The sequence below is a fragment of the Homo sapiens genome, chromosome 5 (assembly GCF_000001405.40).
Source record: "Homo sapiens chromosome 5, GRCh38.p14 Primary Assembly".
Taxonomy (NCBI): Eukaryota; Metazoa; Chordata; class Mammalia; order Primates; family Hominidae; genus Homo; species Homo sapiens.
Genome location: NC_000005.10, coordinates 69,217,750 through 69,232,403, shown reverse-complemented (window position 1 = coordinate 69,232,403; position 14,654 = coordinate 69,217,750). Strand labels below are relative to the sequence as shown.

General features: G+C 42.8%; 1 protein-coding gene across 1 annotated transcript, besides 2 other annotated features; it reads right to left on the bottom strand.

The window, feature by feature from the left end:
* Positions 1 to 2,245: 2,245 nt before the first annotated feature.
* On the bottom strand, positions 2,246 to 14,644 carry KGD4 (alpha-ketoglutarate dehydrogenase subunit 4). The gene is made up of 4 exons (NM_033281.6): positions 14,533 to 14,644; positions 6,003 to 6,066; positions 4,017 to 4,204; positions 2,246 to 3,196 (listed from the first exon to the last, which is right to left on the bottom strand). The coding sequence occupies exons 1-4, from the start codon at positions 14,572 to 14,574 to the stop codon at positions 3,179 to 3,181; spliced, it is 312 nt and encodes a 103-aa protein (NP_150597.1). The 5' UTR covers positions 14,575 to 14,644; the 3' UTR covers positions 2,246 to 3,178.
* Positions 11,795 to 12,419: an enhancer, noted in NCBI's record as "H3K27ac hESC enhancer chr5:68515812-68516436 (GRCh37/hg19 assembly coordinates)". NCBI's record gives its function as "activates a minimal SCP1, AML or CMV promoter by ChIP-STARR-seq in primed H9 embryonic stem cells {active_cell/tissue: H9 hESC(primed)}" and the evidence as "EXISTENCE:reporter gene assay evidence [ECO:0000049][PMID:30033119]".
* Positions 14,068 to 14,362: an enhancer, noted in NCBI's record as "tiled region #69; HepG2 Activating DNase unmatched - State 1:Tss, and K562 Activating non-DNase unmatched - State 1:Tss". NCBI's record gives its function as "activates a minimal TATA promoter and a strong SV40 promoter by Sharpr-MPRA in HepG2 and K562 cells {active_cell/tissue: HepG2 | K562}" and the evidence as "EXISTENCE:reporter gene assay evidence [ECO:0000049][PMID:27701403]".
* Positions 14,645 to 14,654: the final 10 nt, after the last annotated feature.

Genomic DNA, 14,654 nt, shown 5'->3' with positions numbered 1-14,654 from the left:
TATAAAATATCATTTGAGCACTTTGAACCAAAAGAAAAAAAAAGAAAATAGCATTACACATTTGCAAAGCATTTTTCAGTTTAAAGCACTTCCATGCATCTGTATTAGCCAGCTTGTAAGATGGCCATGATGATCCTTGCCTTCCGGTATTAATCCTGTTGTGTGGTCTTCTCCCACAATGAAACAGGTTGTTCTGTGTGACCAATAGAATATGGCTGAAGTGTGATTTATGAGGCTAGAACATAAAAGGATGCTGTTGACTGGCATGCTTGGATTATTTGCTCTGGTGAAAGCCAGCCATGTCATGAATTCACTCAGGCAACCATGTGGAGAGAAACTAAGGCCTCTTGCCAACAGCCAGCATCGGCTTGTCAGCTCTGTGAGTGAGCCATCTTGGAGGTGAATCAGCCAGCCTCAGCCAAGCCTTCAGATGACTGTAGCCTCAGTGGCTTCTAATTGCAACCGCATTAGGCACTAAATCAAAACTGCCCAGTGAAGCTGCTTCTGAATTCCTGACCCAGAGAAACCAGAGAAATTAAGAGTTTAGCCACTTAATTTTGGGGTCATTTGTTACAAAGTAATAGATAATACACTAATTTGATCCTGACTATCCCACTGTGTAGTACTGGAAAGAAAAACGGAAACTTGGACAAATTAAGCAATTTGCTGATTACATATATTTAAGTGCCTAACCTCTAAATGAAAATACAGGCTATTTAACTGTAAGCCTCACCAGAAGTCTATAATACTCTCCTTGGGAGCTCATCCTGTGACAGCAATTCCCACTGGCGTACCTTTTGCCATACCTATACTCACAAATTCTGTAACAGTGACAGATTTTCTTCATTCTGACTTTCACGGCAGCAGCTGTAGTAAAGATTGCCCTCAGATATACATCCACAGTTCGGTATTAGGATTTCTAACTGTTGGCTCACAGTATTACTCATACCACTCTTCACTACCTGAATCCGAATGTATTTCTGAAAGCAAAATAATGGTCCTGGGCTTTTTTTTTTGAGACGGAGTTTTTCTCTTATTGTCCAGGCTGGAAAGGCTGGAGTGCAATGGTGCAATCTCAGCTCACCGCAACCTCTGGCTCCCAGGTTCAAGCAATTCTCCTGCCTCAGCCTCCTGAGTAGCTGGGATTACATGCGCCCGCCACCACGCCCAGCTGATTTTTTGTATTTTTAGTAGAGATGGGGTTTCACCATGTTGGCTAGGCTGGTCTTGAACTCCTGATCTCAGGTGATCTGCCCGCCTCGGCCTCCCAAAGTGCTGGGATTACAGACATAAGCCACCACACCCGGCCTGGCCCTGGGCTTTCTTTTGCTAAAGTAATTTTCCCAAATAATTGTTTTTTTTTTAGACAGAGTCTTGCTCTGTCGCCTAGGCTGGAGTGCAGTGGTGTGACCTCCACTCACTGCAACCTCCACTTCCTGGGTTCAAGCAATTCTCCTGCCTCAGCCTCCTGAGTAGCTGGGATTACAGGCGCCTGCCACCATGCCCAGCTAATTTTTGTATTTTTAGTAGAGATGGGGTTTCACCATGTTGGCCAGGCTGGTCTTGAACTCCTGACATCAGGTGGTCCACCTGCCTTGGCCTCCCAAAGTGCTGGGATTACAGGCGTGAGCCACTGTGCCTGGCAATAAATTTTTAAATAATAAAAAAAAGAAATGAATTATGTTTTTCTTTTTTTTTGGATGGAGTCTCACTCCGTTGACCAGGCTAGAATGCAGTGGCACAATGTTGGCTCACTGCAACCTCTGCCTCCTGGGTTCAAGTGATTCTCTGGCCTCAGCTTCCCTGTAGCTGAGATTATAGGTGTGTGTCACATTGCCTGGCTAATTTTTGTATTTTTAGTAGAGGCGGGGTTTCACCTGCCGGCCAGGCTGGTCTTGAACTCCTGACCTCAGGTGATCAACCTGCCTTGGCTCCCCAAAGTGCTGGTATTAACAAAGCATGAGCCACTGCACCTGGCCTGAATCATGTTTTTCAATGAGTCACCTGAACAGCTTATTGCCAGCATCAAACTCTCATATTTGTGCTGAACAACATTTACACTAGGCCACAGCAAAAAATTTATAAGAGAAGTAGATCAACTCTGTGGAGTAGTAGAAATAAGTAAAAATTAACCCACAGTCAACTGAGTAAATACAGAAGCATACTCAAAGCCAATTCTATTTCTTGCTCATGACCTACCCTTAACTCTCAGGGAGGACTTCTTTAAAGCATATTCTAGAAATCATTAAAGGTATGGAAGAGAATTTATTTAGCTTTGTGAGGCTTTACTTCACAATATACGTACCCTTGGCACAGGAGGGGCCCCATTAAAGTTTCATAAACTGCTTAATAAGTAAATATGTTGATTTTATGAGGCTCTCAGACATTAAGTTTGAGAAGGTTAATGGTTATCAGGATTTGCATACAAGATCACAAAACAGTAAAATAAACCAAAAAACAAGACTTCCTTACAACCTCCAAAACATAATAAATTGCAATTTCTAGTGAAATCTTTATTCCTATGCTATATTCATTTTGATCTCTTATTTTCCATTTTACACTTTTTGACTTTCTTTGGAATCTTTTGTATGATCTCTATCTTAATAGTATAGTCACCTATTTTAGCTTGACTATATTTTTATCATTCAGAGTAGGATATACTTACTAAGCCAGTTATACTCCAGTAAACTTGTGAATGAAAAAACATTAGAGAACAGAGAATTAAGAACAAGTAATAGAGTAATTATTTCACTGATCCTCACCCAATTTCAGGAAAATCATGTCCCTAAAACAGCAATTCTGACTGATAAATTTTTCCATGCCTAAACAGAAAGTAAAGTGAAATTATGGGAATCCTATGATAGTTTACTACACATTGTGTGCTTTTAATAGTTCAACACTGGTAATGTTTGATAATCAAGAGTAAATTAATAGGCTAACATTTAAAAATGTATACTTTAATAAGTATAAAGTATATAAACAATTAGGTAAGCTTGTGGAGAAGCTGACCAAGATACATAAATTAGGAAATACAAGTGTCCATCTAAATTTTCTATATTTCATTTTTTTCATAATATTTATTAAAGGTGTTTAATATACAGTTTCTCATCTGTCATTTTGGAAGTCCTTTATTGTAAAGACAATTCTATTGTCTGATGACAAACAGCAGCCACCATGGTTATTCAGGACCTCCACGCTGAAAAGGAAAAAATAAAGCAGTAAGATTAGATGTTAAATTGACTCAGGAAATGTTTTGATGGCAATTTTACAAATTTATACAATCTTCAGTAAGTAATCTTTGGTTTTTAAAAAATAGTTTTGAATTAGTCAAAACTTTTGGGTACTCATATCAATTCTTTTTTTTTTTTTTTTTTTTTTTTTTGAGATGGAGTTTCCGGAGTTTCACTCTTGCCCAAGCTAGAGTGCAGTGGCGTGACCTTGGCTCACTGCAACCTCCGCCTCCCGGGTTCAAGAGATTCTCCTGCCTCAGCCTCCCGAGTAGCTGGGATTACAGGTACCCACCACCACACCCAGCTAATTTTTGTATTTTCAGTAGAGACGAGGTTTCACCACATTGGCCAGGCTGGTTTCCAAGTCCTGACCTCAGGTGACCCACCTGCCTTGGCCTCCCAAAGTGCTGGGATTACAGGCATGAGCCACCATGCCCAGCCCTCTTATCAATTCTTATAATTTCAGACCTGGAAGGGACTCAAGGTTGACCTGTCCTTAAATTTCTTGGTATCAGAAGCTCTTTACACTCTGAAAAATTATTCAGGACCCCAAAGAGCTGTTTTTTATGTGATTATATCTATTGATATTGATATATCATGCATATTTACAGAGGGATTTGACTATGGTTTCTTTCTCATAGTCTTGGCCTACCTGACCATCCTGTCTTAGCTCTGACCACACTCTGACAAGACAATAGGAATAGCATGTAAATCAGCAAATGAAATCCCCAAAGCCCAAATGTTATGGTGTTTTGCGTAGTCTTGGGATAAAGAGCAACGACATACTTGGATAAATTCCATTTCTTCTTGAGACACAAGTTTCCTTCTGTATTTCTGAGGTAATGTTTTTATTATTTCTGCAGTGTCTGGTGGACCCTGATACATCAGCAAATCTGGTGATTTACTTCCTTTAGAATGTTGTGAAATTACAGAAGAGTGAGATGGTAGCCCTGCTGATCTCAAAGCTTCTGATACTGAAATTAAAAAAAAAAAAGACCTTATTAGAGAAATTGTTCAGATGTCAAAATACTGAGTCTTAAAATACTATCAAATAATCAAGTCATTCTTGAAATGAAGTCATTCTTCAAATAACTCTTGAAGTATTATAATTCCAAAAGGTAAATATTGTAGAGTAACTCAGTTGGCTATATATAATTTCATAAAGGTTTTTAAAAACAAATAAGGAGGTAGCTTTAAAATTTTTATACATTTATTGTTTACAGATGGGGTCTTGCTTTGTTGCCCAGGCTGATCTTGAACTCCTGGGCTCAAGCAAACATCCTGCCAGCCATCCCACCTCAGCCTGTGAGTAGTCAGGATTATAGGCATGTGCCACTGCACCCAGCTAAGGGGCAGTCTTAAGTAAATGAATTACAAAAATGTAAAATAATGAAATTTCTAGTTAGTGGAATTCAACCCTTTAGGGGAACCTACACTACTTAAGCTTATGTCACATAACCCCTCATAGGCCAACACATGGTGGAGTTTACAGGTAATATCTTACAATAAGGAATAAGAAAGTCAGTAAATGTAAATGAGGGTAGTTTTCTCAATATCTTTACACTTGTTTAAACATCTTAATTCTTCAATAGTTACAATAAGTTAAAAATATACCTATAAAATGTGTTAAAATTGCCTGAATTAAAGATCAAGAGAGGCACAGAGGATCTGGTTTTTTTAAAAAAGGGCGGGAATCAGAGAAAAACAGAACCCTTTCAGAATCTTCTCCCATTAATTTTGAATAAATGCTAAGGATTAAGGCAATCCAAAAAATATTTACTGACTAGATGAATAGATAAATGAATGAATGAAAGAAAAGATGGTTGGTGAGGAGAGAAACAGGAATGGTTATTATTTTCCCAGTCTCTGCAAATGTAAGCATGGGAGAATCTTCTAAAGGATAGGAGAGAATAAAGGTAGGACAAAATTTTGCCCATATAAACTCACTAGAAATTCAGAGACATCTTCTGTTGAGTCACTACCTTTTAAAATAGGGGTAATAAAGGCCAGGTGAGTGGCTCATGCCTGTAATCCCAGCACTTTGGGAGGCGGAGGCAGGCAGATCACCTGAGATCAGGAGTCGAGACCAGCCTAGGCAACATGGTGAAACCCTGTCTCTACTAAAAATACAAAAATTAGCCAGGCGTGCTAGTGTATGCCTGTAATCCCAGCTACTAAGGATGCTGAAGCACGAGAATTGCTTTAACCCGGGAGGGGGAGACTGCAGTGTGCCAAGATAGCACCACTGCACTCCAGCCTGGGCGACAGAGCAAGACCCTGTCTCAAAAAATAAAATAAAATAGAGGTAATAATTTTTTTTTTTTTTGAGACAAAGTCTTGCCCTGTCACCCAGGCTGGAGTGCAGTGGCATGATCTTAGCTCACTGCAACCTCCGCCTCGTGGGTTCAAGCAATTCTATGCCTCAGCCTCCCGAGTAGCTGGGACTATAGGAGCCCGCCACCACGCCTGGCTAATTTTTTGTATTTTTTAGTAGAGACAGGGTTTCACCATGTTGGCCAGGCTGGTCTTGAACTCCTGACCTCAGGTGATCCGCGTGCCTCGGCCTCCCAAAGTGCTGGGATGACAGGCGTGAGCCACCGCTCCCAGCCATAAGTTAATTTCTACTTGCATGCTACATAAGGCACTATTTTGATCTAAGCTACAATAGTCTTAACTGATTTTAAAATGAGAAATATTGCCTATAATAAAATACTCATTTATAAATATTCATGTACACAATTTTAAAAGAAATTTAAATAAAATACAACTCACCATTGGGTTTAGGATTGTCTCTTCTGTCAGGAAACCTTATTAATGGAGTGTGTGGTTTGACTACCTAAATGAAAAGTAATATGCATGAAAAACAATCTCATTAACTAAAAGAAATGATCTACTAAACCTCATAAGTAGATACGTTTGTTAAAATTACTATTTTACAGCAACTTTAAATTATACTCTTCCCCAACCAGGAAAGCTGGTCTATGAATTATTAACTTGTCTACCCGGTAAACACAACTTTGTACTTTATATATCACAAGACTTCATTGTACTATCGAAGGTGTACTTCACTTCAAAGCAACCCAATGGAGGAGATGATGTAGAGTTTATGTTGCATGACTTATAGATTGGTAAGAATGAAAGCTGGCTGGGTGCAGTGGCTTATGCCTGTAATCCCAACATTTTGGGAGGCCCAGACAGGCAGATTGCGTGAGTGCAGGAGTTTGAGACCAGCCTGGGCAACATGGTGAAACCCCGTCTCTACCAAAAATTAAAACAAAAACAAAAAGAAAAACAAGGCCCAGTGTGATGGCTCACGCCTATAATCCCAACACTTTGGGAGGCCGAGGCGGACGGATCACGAGGTCAGGAGTTCAAGACCAGCCTGGCCAACATGGTGAAACCCCATCTCTACTAAAAATACAAAAATTAGTTGGGCATGGTGATGCGTGCCTGTAATCCTAGCTACTTGGGAGGCTGAGGCAGGAGAACTGCTTGAACCAACCGGGACTCCGGAGGCAGAGGTTGCAGTGAGCTGAGATCGTGCCACTGCACTCTAGCCTGGGCTACAGAGTGAGACTCCATCTTAAAAAAAAAAAAAAAAAAAAAGGTGGCTGAGCATGGTGGCTCACACCTGTAATCCCAGCACTTTGGAAGGCTGAGGCAGGTGGATCACGAGGTCAGGAGTTCGAGAGCAGCCTGACCAACAGGGTGAAACCTCGTATCTACTAAAAATACAAAAATTAGCAGGGCATGGTGGTAGTGCACACCTGTAATCCCAGCTACTCAGGAGGCTGAGGCAGGAGAATCGCTTGAACGCAGGAGGCAGAGGTTGCAGTGAGCAGAGATAGTGCCACCATACTTCAGTCTGACCACAGAGCGAGACTCCGTCTCAAAAAAAAAAAAAAAAAAAATGTGGTGCTATGTGCCTGTAGTTCCAGCTACTTGGGAGGCTGAGGTGGGAGGATCACTTGAACCAAGGAGGCAGAGGTTGCAGTGAGCTCAGATCTTGCCACTGCACTCCAGCCTGGGCAACAGAGTGAGACCCCATCTCAAAGAAAAAACACTGGAAATTTACTGCCTTTTTTTTTTTTTTCTTTTTTCAGACGGAGTCTCACTCTGTCGCCCAGGCTGGAGTGCAGCGGCACGATCTCAGCTCACTGGAACCTCCACCTCCTGTGTTCAAGCGATTCTCCTGCCCCAGCCTCCCGAGTAGCTGGGACTATAGGCACGTGCCACCACGCCCGGCTAGTTTTTTTCACTTTTAGTAGAGACGGGGTTTCACCGTGTTAGCCAAGGTGGTCTCAATCTCCTGACCTCATGATCCGCCCACCTTGGCCTCCTAAAGTGCTGGGATTACAGGTGTGAGCCACCGCACCCGGCAGAAATTTACTGACTTTTTAAATTTTTTGTTGAGACAGCGTCTGGCTTGTTGCCCAGGATGGAGTGCACTGGCATGATGTGGCCTTACCGCAACCTCCGCCTCCTGCTCCTAGGTACAAGCAATCTTCTTGCCTTAGCCTCCCAAAGTTCTAGGATTTCAGGCATGAACCACTGCACCTGGCCTCCTGACTTGTTTTGAGTGTTATTTCCCTACTATATTAATACCTAACAGGGAAGAAAAAACAATCATTTTGAAAATTAGAAAATTAAAGAATACTTTTTTTGACTACAAAAGTAACACAAATTCTGTGTAAAACATTTGGAAGAACACAGAAGAGCACAAAGAAGAAAACACTATAATCCCAAGACCCACGTAAAACAAATAAAAGACTTTTTTTTTTTTTGAGATGGAGTCTCCTCTGTCACCCAGGCTGGAATGTAGTGGCGTAATCTCTGTTCACTGCAACCTCCGCCTCCCAGGTTCAAGCAATTCTCCTGCCTCAGCCTCCTGAGTAGCCAGGATTACAGGCCTGCGCCACCACACCCCGCTAATTTTTGTATTTTTAGTAGATATGGAGTTTCCCCATTTTACCCAGGCTGGTCTTGAACTCCTGACCTCAAATGATCCACCTGCTTCGGCTTCCCAAAGTGCTGGGATTACAGGCATGGGCCACCATGCCCGGCCCAAATTAAAACATTTGATAGCACTTTATTTTAGTCTTTTTCCTATACCCATAGGAATACTTTTTTTTTTTTTTTTTTAGACAGAGTCTTGCTGTGTCACTCAGACTGGAGTACAGTGCCGCAATCATGGCTCACTGCAACCTCCGCCTCAAGGGTTCAAGTGATTCTCCTGCCTCCGCCTCCCAAGTAGCTGGGATTACAGGTGCCCGCCACCACACCCGGCTAATTTTTATATTTTTAGTAGAGACAGGGTTTCACCATGTTGGCCAGGCTGGTTTCGAACGGCCTCCCAAAGTGCTGGGATTACAGGCGTGAGCCACCATGCCTGGCCTGGAATACATATTTTTGGAATACTGTTTTTGGAACAGATGTTTGAAAAGTATTAACATTTTTGTCCGTAAAATTCCAGATAGTGGTACAGAGGACCTTAAATGGACCTGTCAATATGAAATCTTCTGAATATACAATGCTAAGAATCTAATGAACAAAGTACTATTTTCAACTAATCTATAAATTGCTATGTAACGAATAAGACTGAGGTGGGTTTATCTGCAATATATTTATATATTTGTAGTACATATTATGCATTTTATGTGGGCACAGAAGCAAATAGGTATGGGATTGGCCTAAAAATTCACCACTGTAATTCTGTGGCTGTGAGAAAATGCTGGAATGTGTTCTCTCCCTCACCATAAAATCATGCTCAAGTCTTCCATGCTAAAAAACTTCTCGGCCGGGCATGGTGGCTCACACCTGTAATGCCAGCACTTTGAGAGGCCGAGGTGGGTGGATCATGAGGTCAGGAGATCGAGACCATTCTGGCTAACACGGAGAAACCCCGTCTCTACTAAAAATACAAAAAAAGTAGCCAGGCGTGGTGGCACACACCTGTAGTCCCAGGTACTCGGGAGGCTGAGGCAGGAGAATCGCTTGAACCTGGGAGGCAGAGGTTGCAGTGAGCCGAGATTGTGCCACTGCACTCCAGCCTAGGTGAAAGAGCAAGACTTTGTCTCAAAAAAAAAAAAAAAAAAAAAAGCTGCGCACCGTGACTCACGCCTGTCATCCCAGCACTTTGAGAGGCCAAGGCGGGTGGATCATGAGGTCACGAATTCAAGACCAGCCTGGCCAAGACGGTGAAACCCTGTCTCTACTAAAAAAATAAAAAAATTAGCCGGGCGTGGTGGTGGGCGCCTGTAATCCCAGCTACTCGGGAGGCTAAGGCAGAAAATTGCTTGAACCCTGGAGTGGAAGTCCGAGATCGAGCCACTGCACTCCAGCCTGAGTGACAGAGAGAGGCTCTGTCTCAAAAAAAAAAACTTCTCTATTAACTGTTTCTTCACTTTCATAGCCAAGCTTCTTAAGAGAATGTTCTATCTATCCTATCATCACTCCCCTATTTAGAAGTTTGAAAACTGGCTGAGGTCAGTGGCTCATGCCTGTAATCCCAGCACTTTGGGAAGACGGCTTGAGCCCAGGAGTTTGAGACCAGCCTGAGCAAGAAGATGAGACTCCCTCTCTACAACTTAAAAGAAGAAAAAAAAGAAGTTTGAAAAATGTTCCACAGCTTTCAGGATAAAGTTCAAACTCTTCTTTGGCACTCACAACACCCATTGTGATCTGGCCTCTCCCTACTTTGCCAGCCTTTCTCCCCTACTGTCTTATGTACCCATTGCTCCAAGTATTCTGAAGTATTTTTCCTTTCCCCAATTCATCCTATTTATCCTCATTCCATCTACAGCTTACGTCCTCTGCCATGAAATCTCCCTCCTATCCCATTCCACTTCCATGCCTATCCTTCTGACTGCTTATCCTTTACAACAGCTCAAATGTCACTCTTCTCTAAGAACCTTTCCCAAATTCCAAAGTCTGAGTTAAAAACTCTCCTTATGTTTTCAGAGGACAGATAAGTTAGCCAATGATTATAGAAGAGCACTAAGCTCCTGGACAGTCAGAGACAGAAAACTAAGCACTTCTGCAGTAGCATTCCTGTTACATGGTAAATGCCCAAGTAACAGTTGCCAAATACGTGAATAAACCATTTGTAAGTTAGGTCTAACTGTATAGGCATGTAAATATGTATTATATACTTATACAAATGTACTTTTAATAGATATGGGGTTTTGCCATGTTGGCCAGGCTGGTCTCGAACTCCTGACCTCAGGTGATCTGCCCGCCTTGGTCTCCCAAAGTGCTGGGATTACAGGCATGAGTCACCGTGCCCAGCCTTATGTTTTCTATAATAGTCTTTTATCAGATATGTCTTTTGAAAGTATTTTCTCCCAATATGTGGCTTGCCTTTTTTTGACAGTGTCTCACAGAGCAGAATTTTTTATTTTAATGAAGTCCAGCTTATCAATTAATTTTTCATGGATCATGCCTTTGGTGTTATATCTAAAAAGTCATTCCTAAACCTAAGGTTATTTTTATTTTCTCCTATGTTATATTCTAAGGGTTTTATAGTTTTGCATTTTGCATTTAGGTCTAGGATCCATTTTGAGTTAATGTTTGTGAAGAACGTGAGGTCTGTGTCTAGATGGATATCCAATTTTTTCAGCACCATGTTGAAAAGACTATCTTTTCTCCATTGTATTCCCTTTGCTCGTTTTGTCAAAGATCAGTTGACTATCTCTTTATTTTTACCTTTCCAAATCTTAGTTTTAGCTATGCCTCTTATAAATAGCATAGCACTGGATTTTCATTTGTTAGCCAGTCTGAAAATGTTTTACTTTATTATTTATTTTTTGAGACCAGGTCTTGCTCTGTTACACAGGCTGGGGTGCAGTGGAGTGATCGTGGTTCACTGCAGCGTCAAACTCCTGGGCTCAAGTGATCTTTCCACCTCAGCCTCCTAAGTAGCTAGGACTACAGGTACACACCCACACACTACCCCTCCTGCCTGGCTAATTTTTTTTTTTTTTTTTAGTATTTATTGATCATTCTTGGGTGTTTCTCGGAGAGGGGGATGTGGCAGGGTCATAGGATAATAGTGGAGAGAAGGTCAGCAGATAAACACGTGAACAAAAAGGTCTCTGGTTTTCCTAGGCAGAGGTCCCTGCGGCCTTCCGCAGTGTTTACGTCCCTGGGTACTTGAGATTAGGGAGTGGTGATGACTCTTAACGAGCATGCTGCCTTCAAGCATCTGTTTAACAAAGCACATCTTGCACCGCCCTTAATCCATTTAACCCTGAGTGGACACAGCACGTTTCAGAGAGCACGGGGTTGGGGGTAAGGTTATAGATTAACAGCATCCCAAGGCAGAAGAATTTTTCTTAGTACAGAACAAAATGGAGTCTCCTGTGTCTACTTCTTTCTACACAGACACAGTAACAATCTGATCTCTCTTTCTTTTCCCCACATTTCCCCCTTTTCTTTTCGACAAAACCGCCATCGTCATCATGGCCCGTTCTCGATGGTTGCTGTCTCTTCAGAGCTGTTGGGTACACCTGCAGAAAGGCTGTCACTTCACACTTGGAAGATTGCACTGCGGCCAGGCAGAGGCGCTCCTCACTTCCCAGACGGGGTGGCGGCCGGGCAGAGGCGCTCCTCACATCCCAGACGGGGCGGCCGGGCAGAGGCGCTCCTCACTTCCCAGACGGGGCGGCTGCCTGGCTAATTTTTATAGAGATGGGGTCTTGCTATGTTGCCTAGGCTAATCTTGAACTCCTGGCTCAAGCAATCTTCCCACCTTGGCTTTCCAAAGTGTTGGGAGTACAGGTGTGAGCCACCGTGCCCAGCTGGCTTTGTCTTTACTTAATGTTCTGAGACCACGCTTTGTGACTTCCTATCAGTTTGTACCAATCAGTCTTTTGGCACTCTTCTCTTCCTTCAAGATATGGATCAACAACCAAATTCTAAGCTCTATGTTTTTTTGTTTTTTTTTTTTGAGTCAGGGTCTAGCTCTACTGTCCAGGCTGGAATGCAGTGGCATGATTATGGCTCACTGTAGCCTTGATCACCCAGGCTCAATCTTCCCACCTCAGCCTCCTGAGTAGCTGGGACCACAGGTGCACATCACCATGCTCAGCTAATTTTTTAAAATTTTTATAGAGATGGGGTCTTGCTATTTTGCCCAGGCTGGTCTTGAACTCCTGGGCTCAAGCCATCCTCCTGCCTCAAACTACCAAAGTGTTGGGATTACAGGCATACATCAGTGAGCCTGGCCTAAACTCTAACTGGCACTGTAGTCCTAGCTTTATAGGCCTGTCACAGAGATACTCAACAAATTTTGCTAATGTTATATGTAATTATTACATAATATTAGCACATACTTTATTATTTATTTTTCGAGACCAGGTCTTGCTCTGTTACACAGGCTGGGGTGCAGTGGGGTGATTGTGGTTCACTGCAGCGTCAAACTCCTAGGCTCAAGTGATATTATATTAGCATATTGGTTGTATTCTCTCTTTTTTTCTTTTTTTTTAAGAGCGCAATCACGAACCTGATTTGAATTCTAAATAGGTGAGTACAGGTCTTTGTTCCTATGTTAGAAGGGCACAGACCATTCCTTACTGTATATCTCACAGTTTCTTCATTTGTTTGCACACATCAGCTGTTAGTATTGCTTTGGACTGTACTATTTTAACAAACTACCACAATTTGTTTATGCAAAAGACAGACATAGAGATTGTTTGTGGTTTGGGGGCTATCAGAAATAGAGCCAGGGACCCCATGGCAGTATATATAGTACCTGCCTGCTGAGATGCCACACTCCTGCTGCCAGGCTGGAACCCCTCAGCTCTGGACCCCAGTTCTTTGCTAGTAACTCTTTTTTTTCTGTGAACATTTACGTACAGAGACAGTATGTGCATTCACTTCTCTTGGGCAATAAACCTATGAGTAGAATTGCTGGGTCATACGGTAGATACATGCTTAACTATTAGAGACTGACAGCTTTCCAAAGTGGCTATAACATTTTATATTCCCACCAGCAATATTGAGGGTTTCAGACGCTTCACATTCTCATCACCACTGACGTCTAAATTTTAGTCATTTTGGTGGATGTGTAGGACCTCATGGTTTTAATTTTTATTTTCCTGGCAAGTAATGATATTGAGCACCTTTTAAAATGTTCATTGCTCATTTGGGTATCTTTTGTGCAACACGCCAAGTCTTTTACCCATTTTTAAATTGTTATATATTATTGATACATATGGTTATATATTATGGATAACAGACCTTTGTCAGTCTCTCAGTCCTTACAGAATCTTTAACTAGTTGATGCTCAGTAACTACCTACTGAATAAGTAAGGATCATTCATTGCAATGGGACCAAAGACTGGGATCTAGGATTATCATTCAGACAACAATTTCAGGAATTTAGAAAAAGGTCTTTTAAGAGATGTACTTATATAAAGCGGAATGTACTTCTCATATCAAAGATAAAAGTCAATTATAAAATAATATAGTTTCAGGGTTCAAAGACTATGTAAACCAACCACAAAAGTGGAGGTTGTGTTCCACTTATATAATAATTTTACCTAAGTTAGAACCACAGCTGAAGAAACAAATAAAAAGGCTATCAGGAGTTAGTAGCTGATAGGTGGATTAACAAAGTTACTTTAGCTGTCTATCTAAACCAGGGGAAAATAGGCTTGTGAAACCAACGCTTATACACACACACACACACACACACACACACATTAATATACACACACACATACTAATTAAACTTAAGTTTACTTTTCTATTTCCCTCATCTGGCCTGTAGCCAGACGCTTGGAGAGGTTGGGGAGAACCCGCTCCGGCGAGGACGCAGTACGCGGGGCCAGTTGCCCGACCATTCCCGAGACCTTGAAGGGACAGTGGGTCAGATCCAGGGTTCGCTTCCTTCCACGCCCCGCTACCGCCTTCCTTCCGATTGGCTGATCGGGGGCACCACAGCCAATCCTAGACGGCGATTGGCCAGGCTACCGCCAGGGTCGCCTCACCCGCACACGCCTAAGACTAACAAGGTCCTGGCGGAGGAGCGGGGGATCCCGGCAGTAGGTACAGGACCTACCTGCCAAGATGCTGCACGGTTGCCGCAAGGCTCGAACCCTCGGCGCCGGACCCACCTCACTGCCCGGTCCAACAGGCTCAAAGTCCCATCCTCACACACACCCGCGGGCGCCGTCACTGGCCCTCCGCAGAGGCGCGGTCACCGCTCTGCCTCTGCCACCGCCTTTACTCCCCGACGCCGTCGCCATAGTCAGCACCGTCCCTACCGCCCAAGATGCGGAAACGCGACAAATTGCTTTACCTGAACGACCCTACTAGCAGACGCCATCTTGCTGCCCATCATGACCCCCGAGAAGGGGCAGTTTCCGGGGCGCGAGCGAGCCGCGGCGATCACTGGAGTCCCGGGCAGCTGTGGGCGGTGCT

Bases quoted from the DNA above. Each gene is read 5' to 3' on its own strand.
- KGD4 (NM_033281.6), bottom strand. From the start codon at position 14,574: ATGATGGGCAGCAAGATGGCGTCTGCTAGTAGGGTCGTTCAG. The intron at 6,067-14,532 runs GTAAAGCAATTT...CTTTTCATTTAG, and splicing joins CTGCTAGTAGGGTCGTTCAG to GTAGTCAAACCACACACTCC. The intron at 4,205-6,002 runs GTGAGTTGTATT...TTTTAATTTCAG, and splicing joins AGACAATCCTAAACCCAATG to TATCAGAAGCTTTGAGATCA.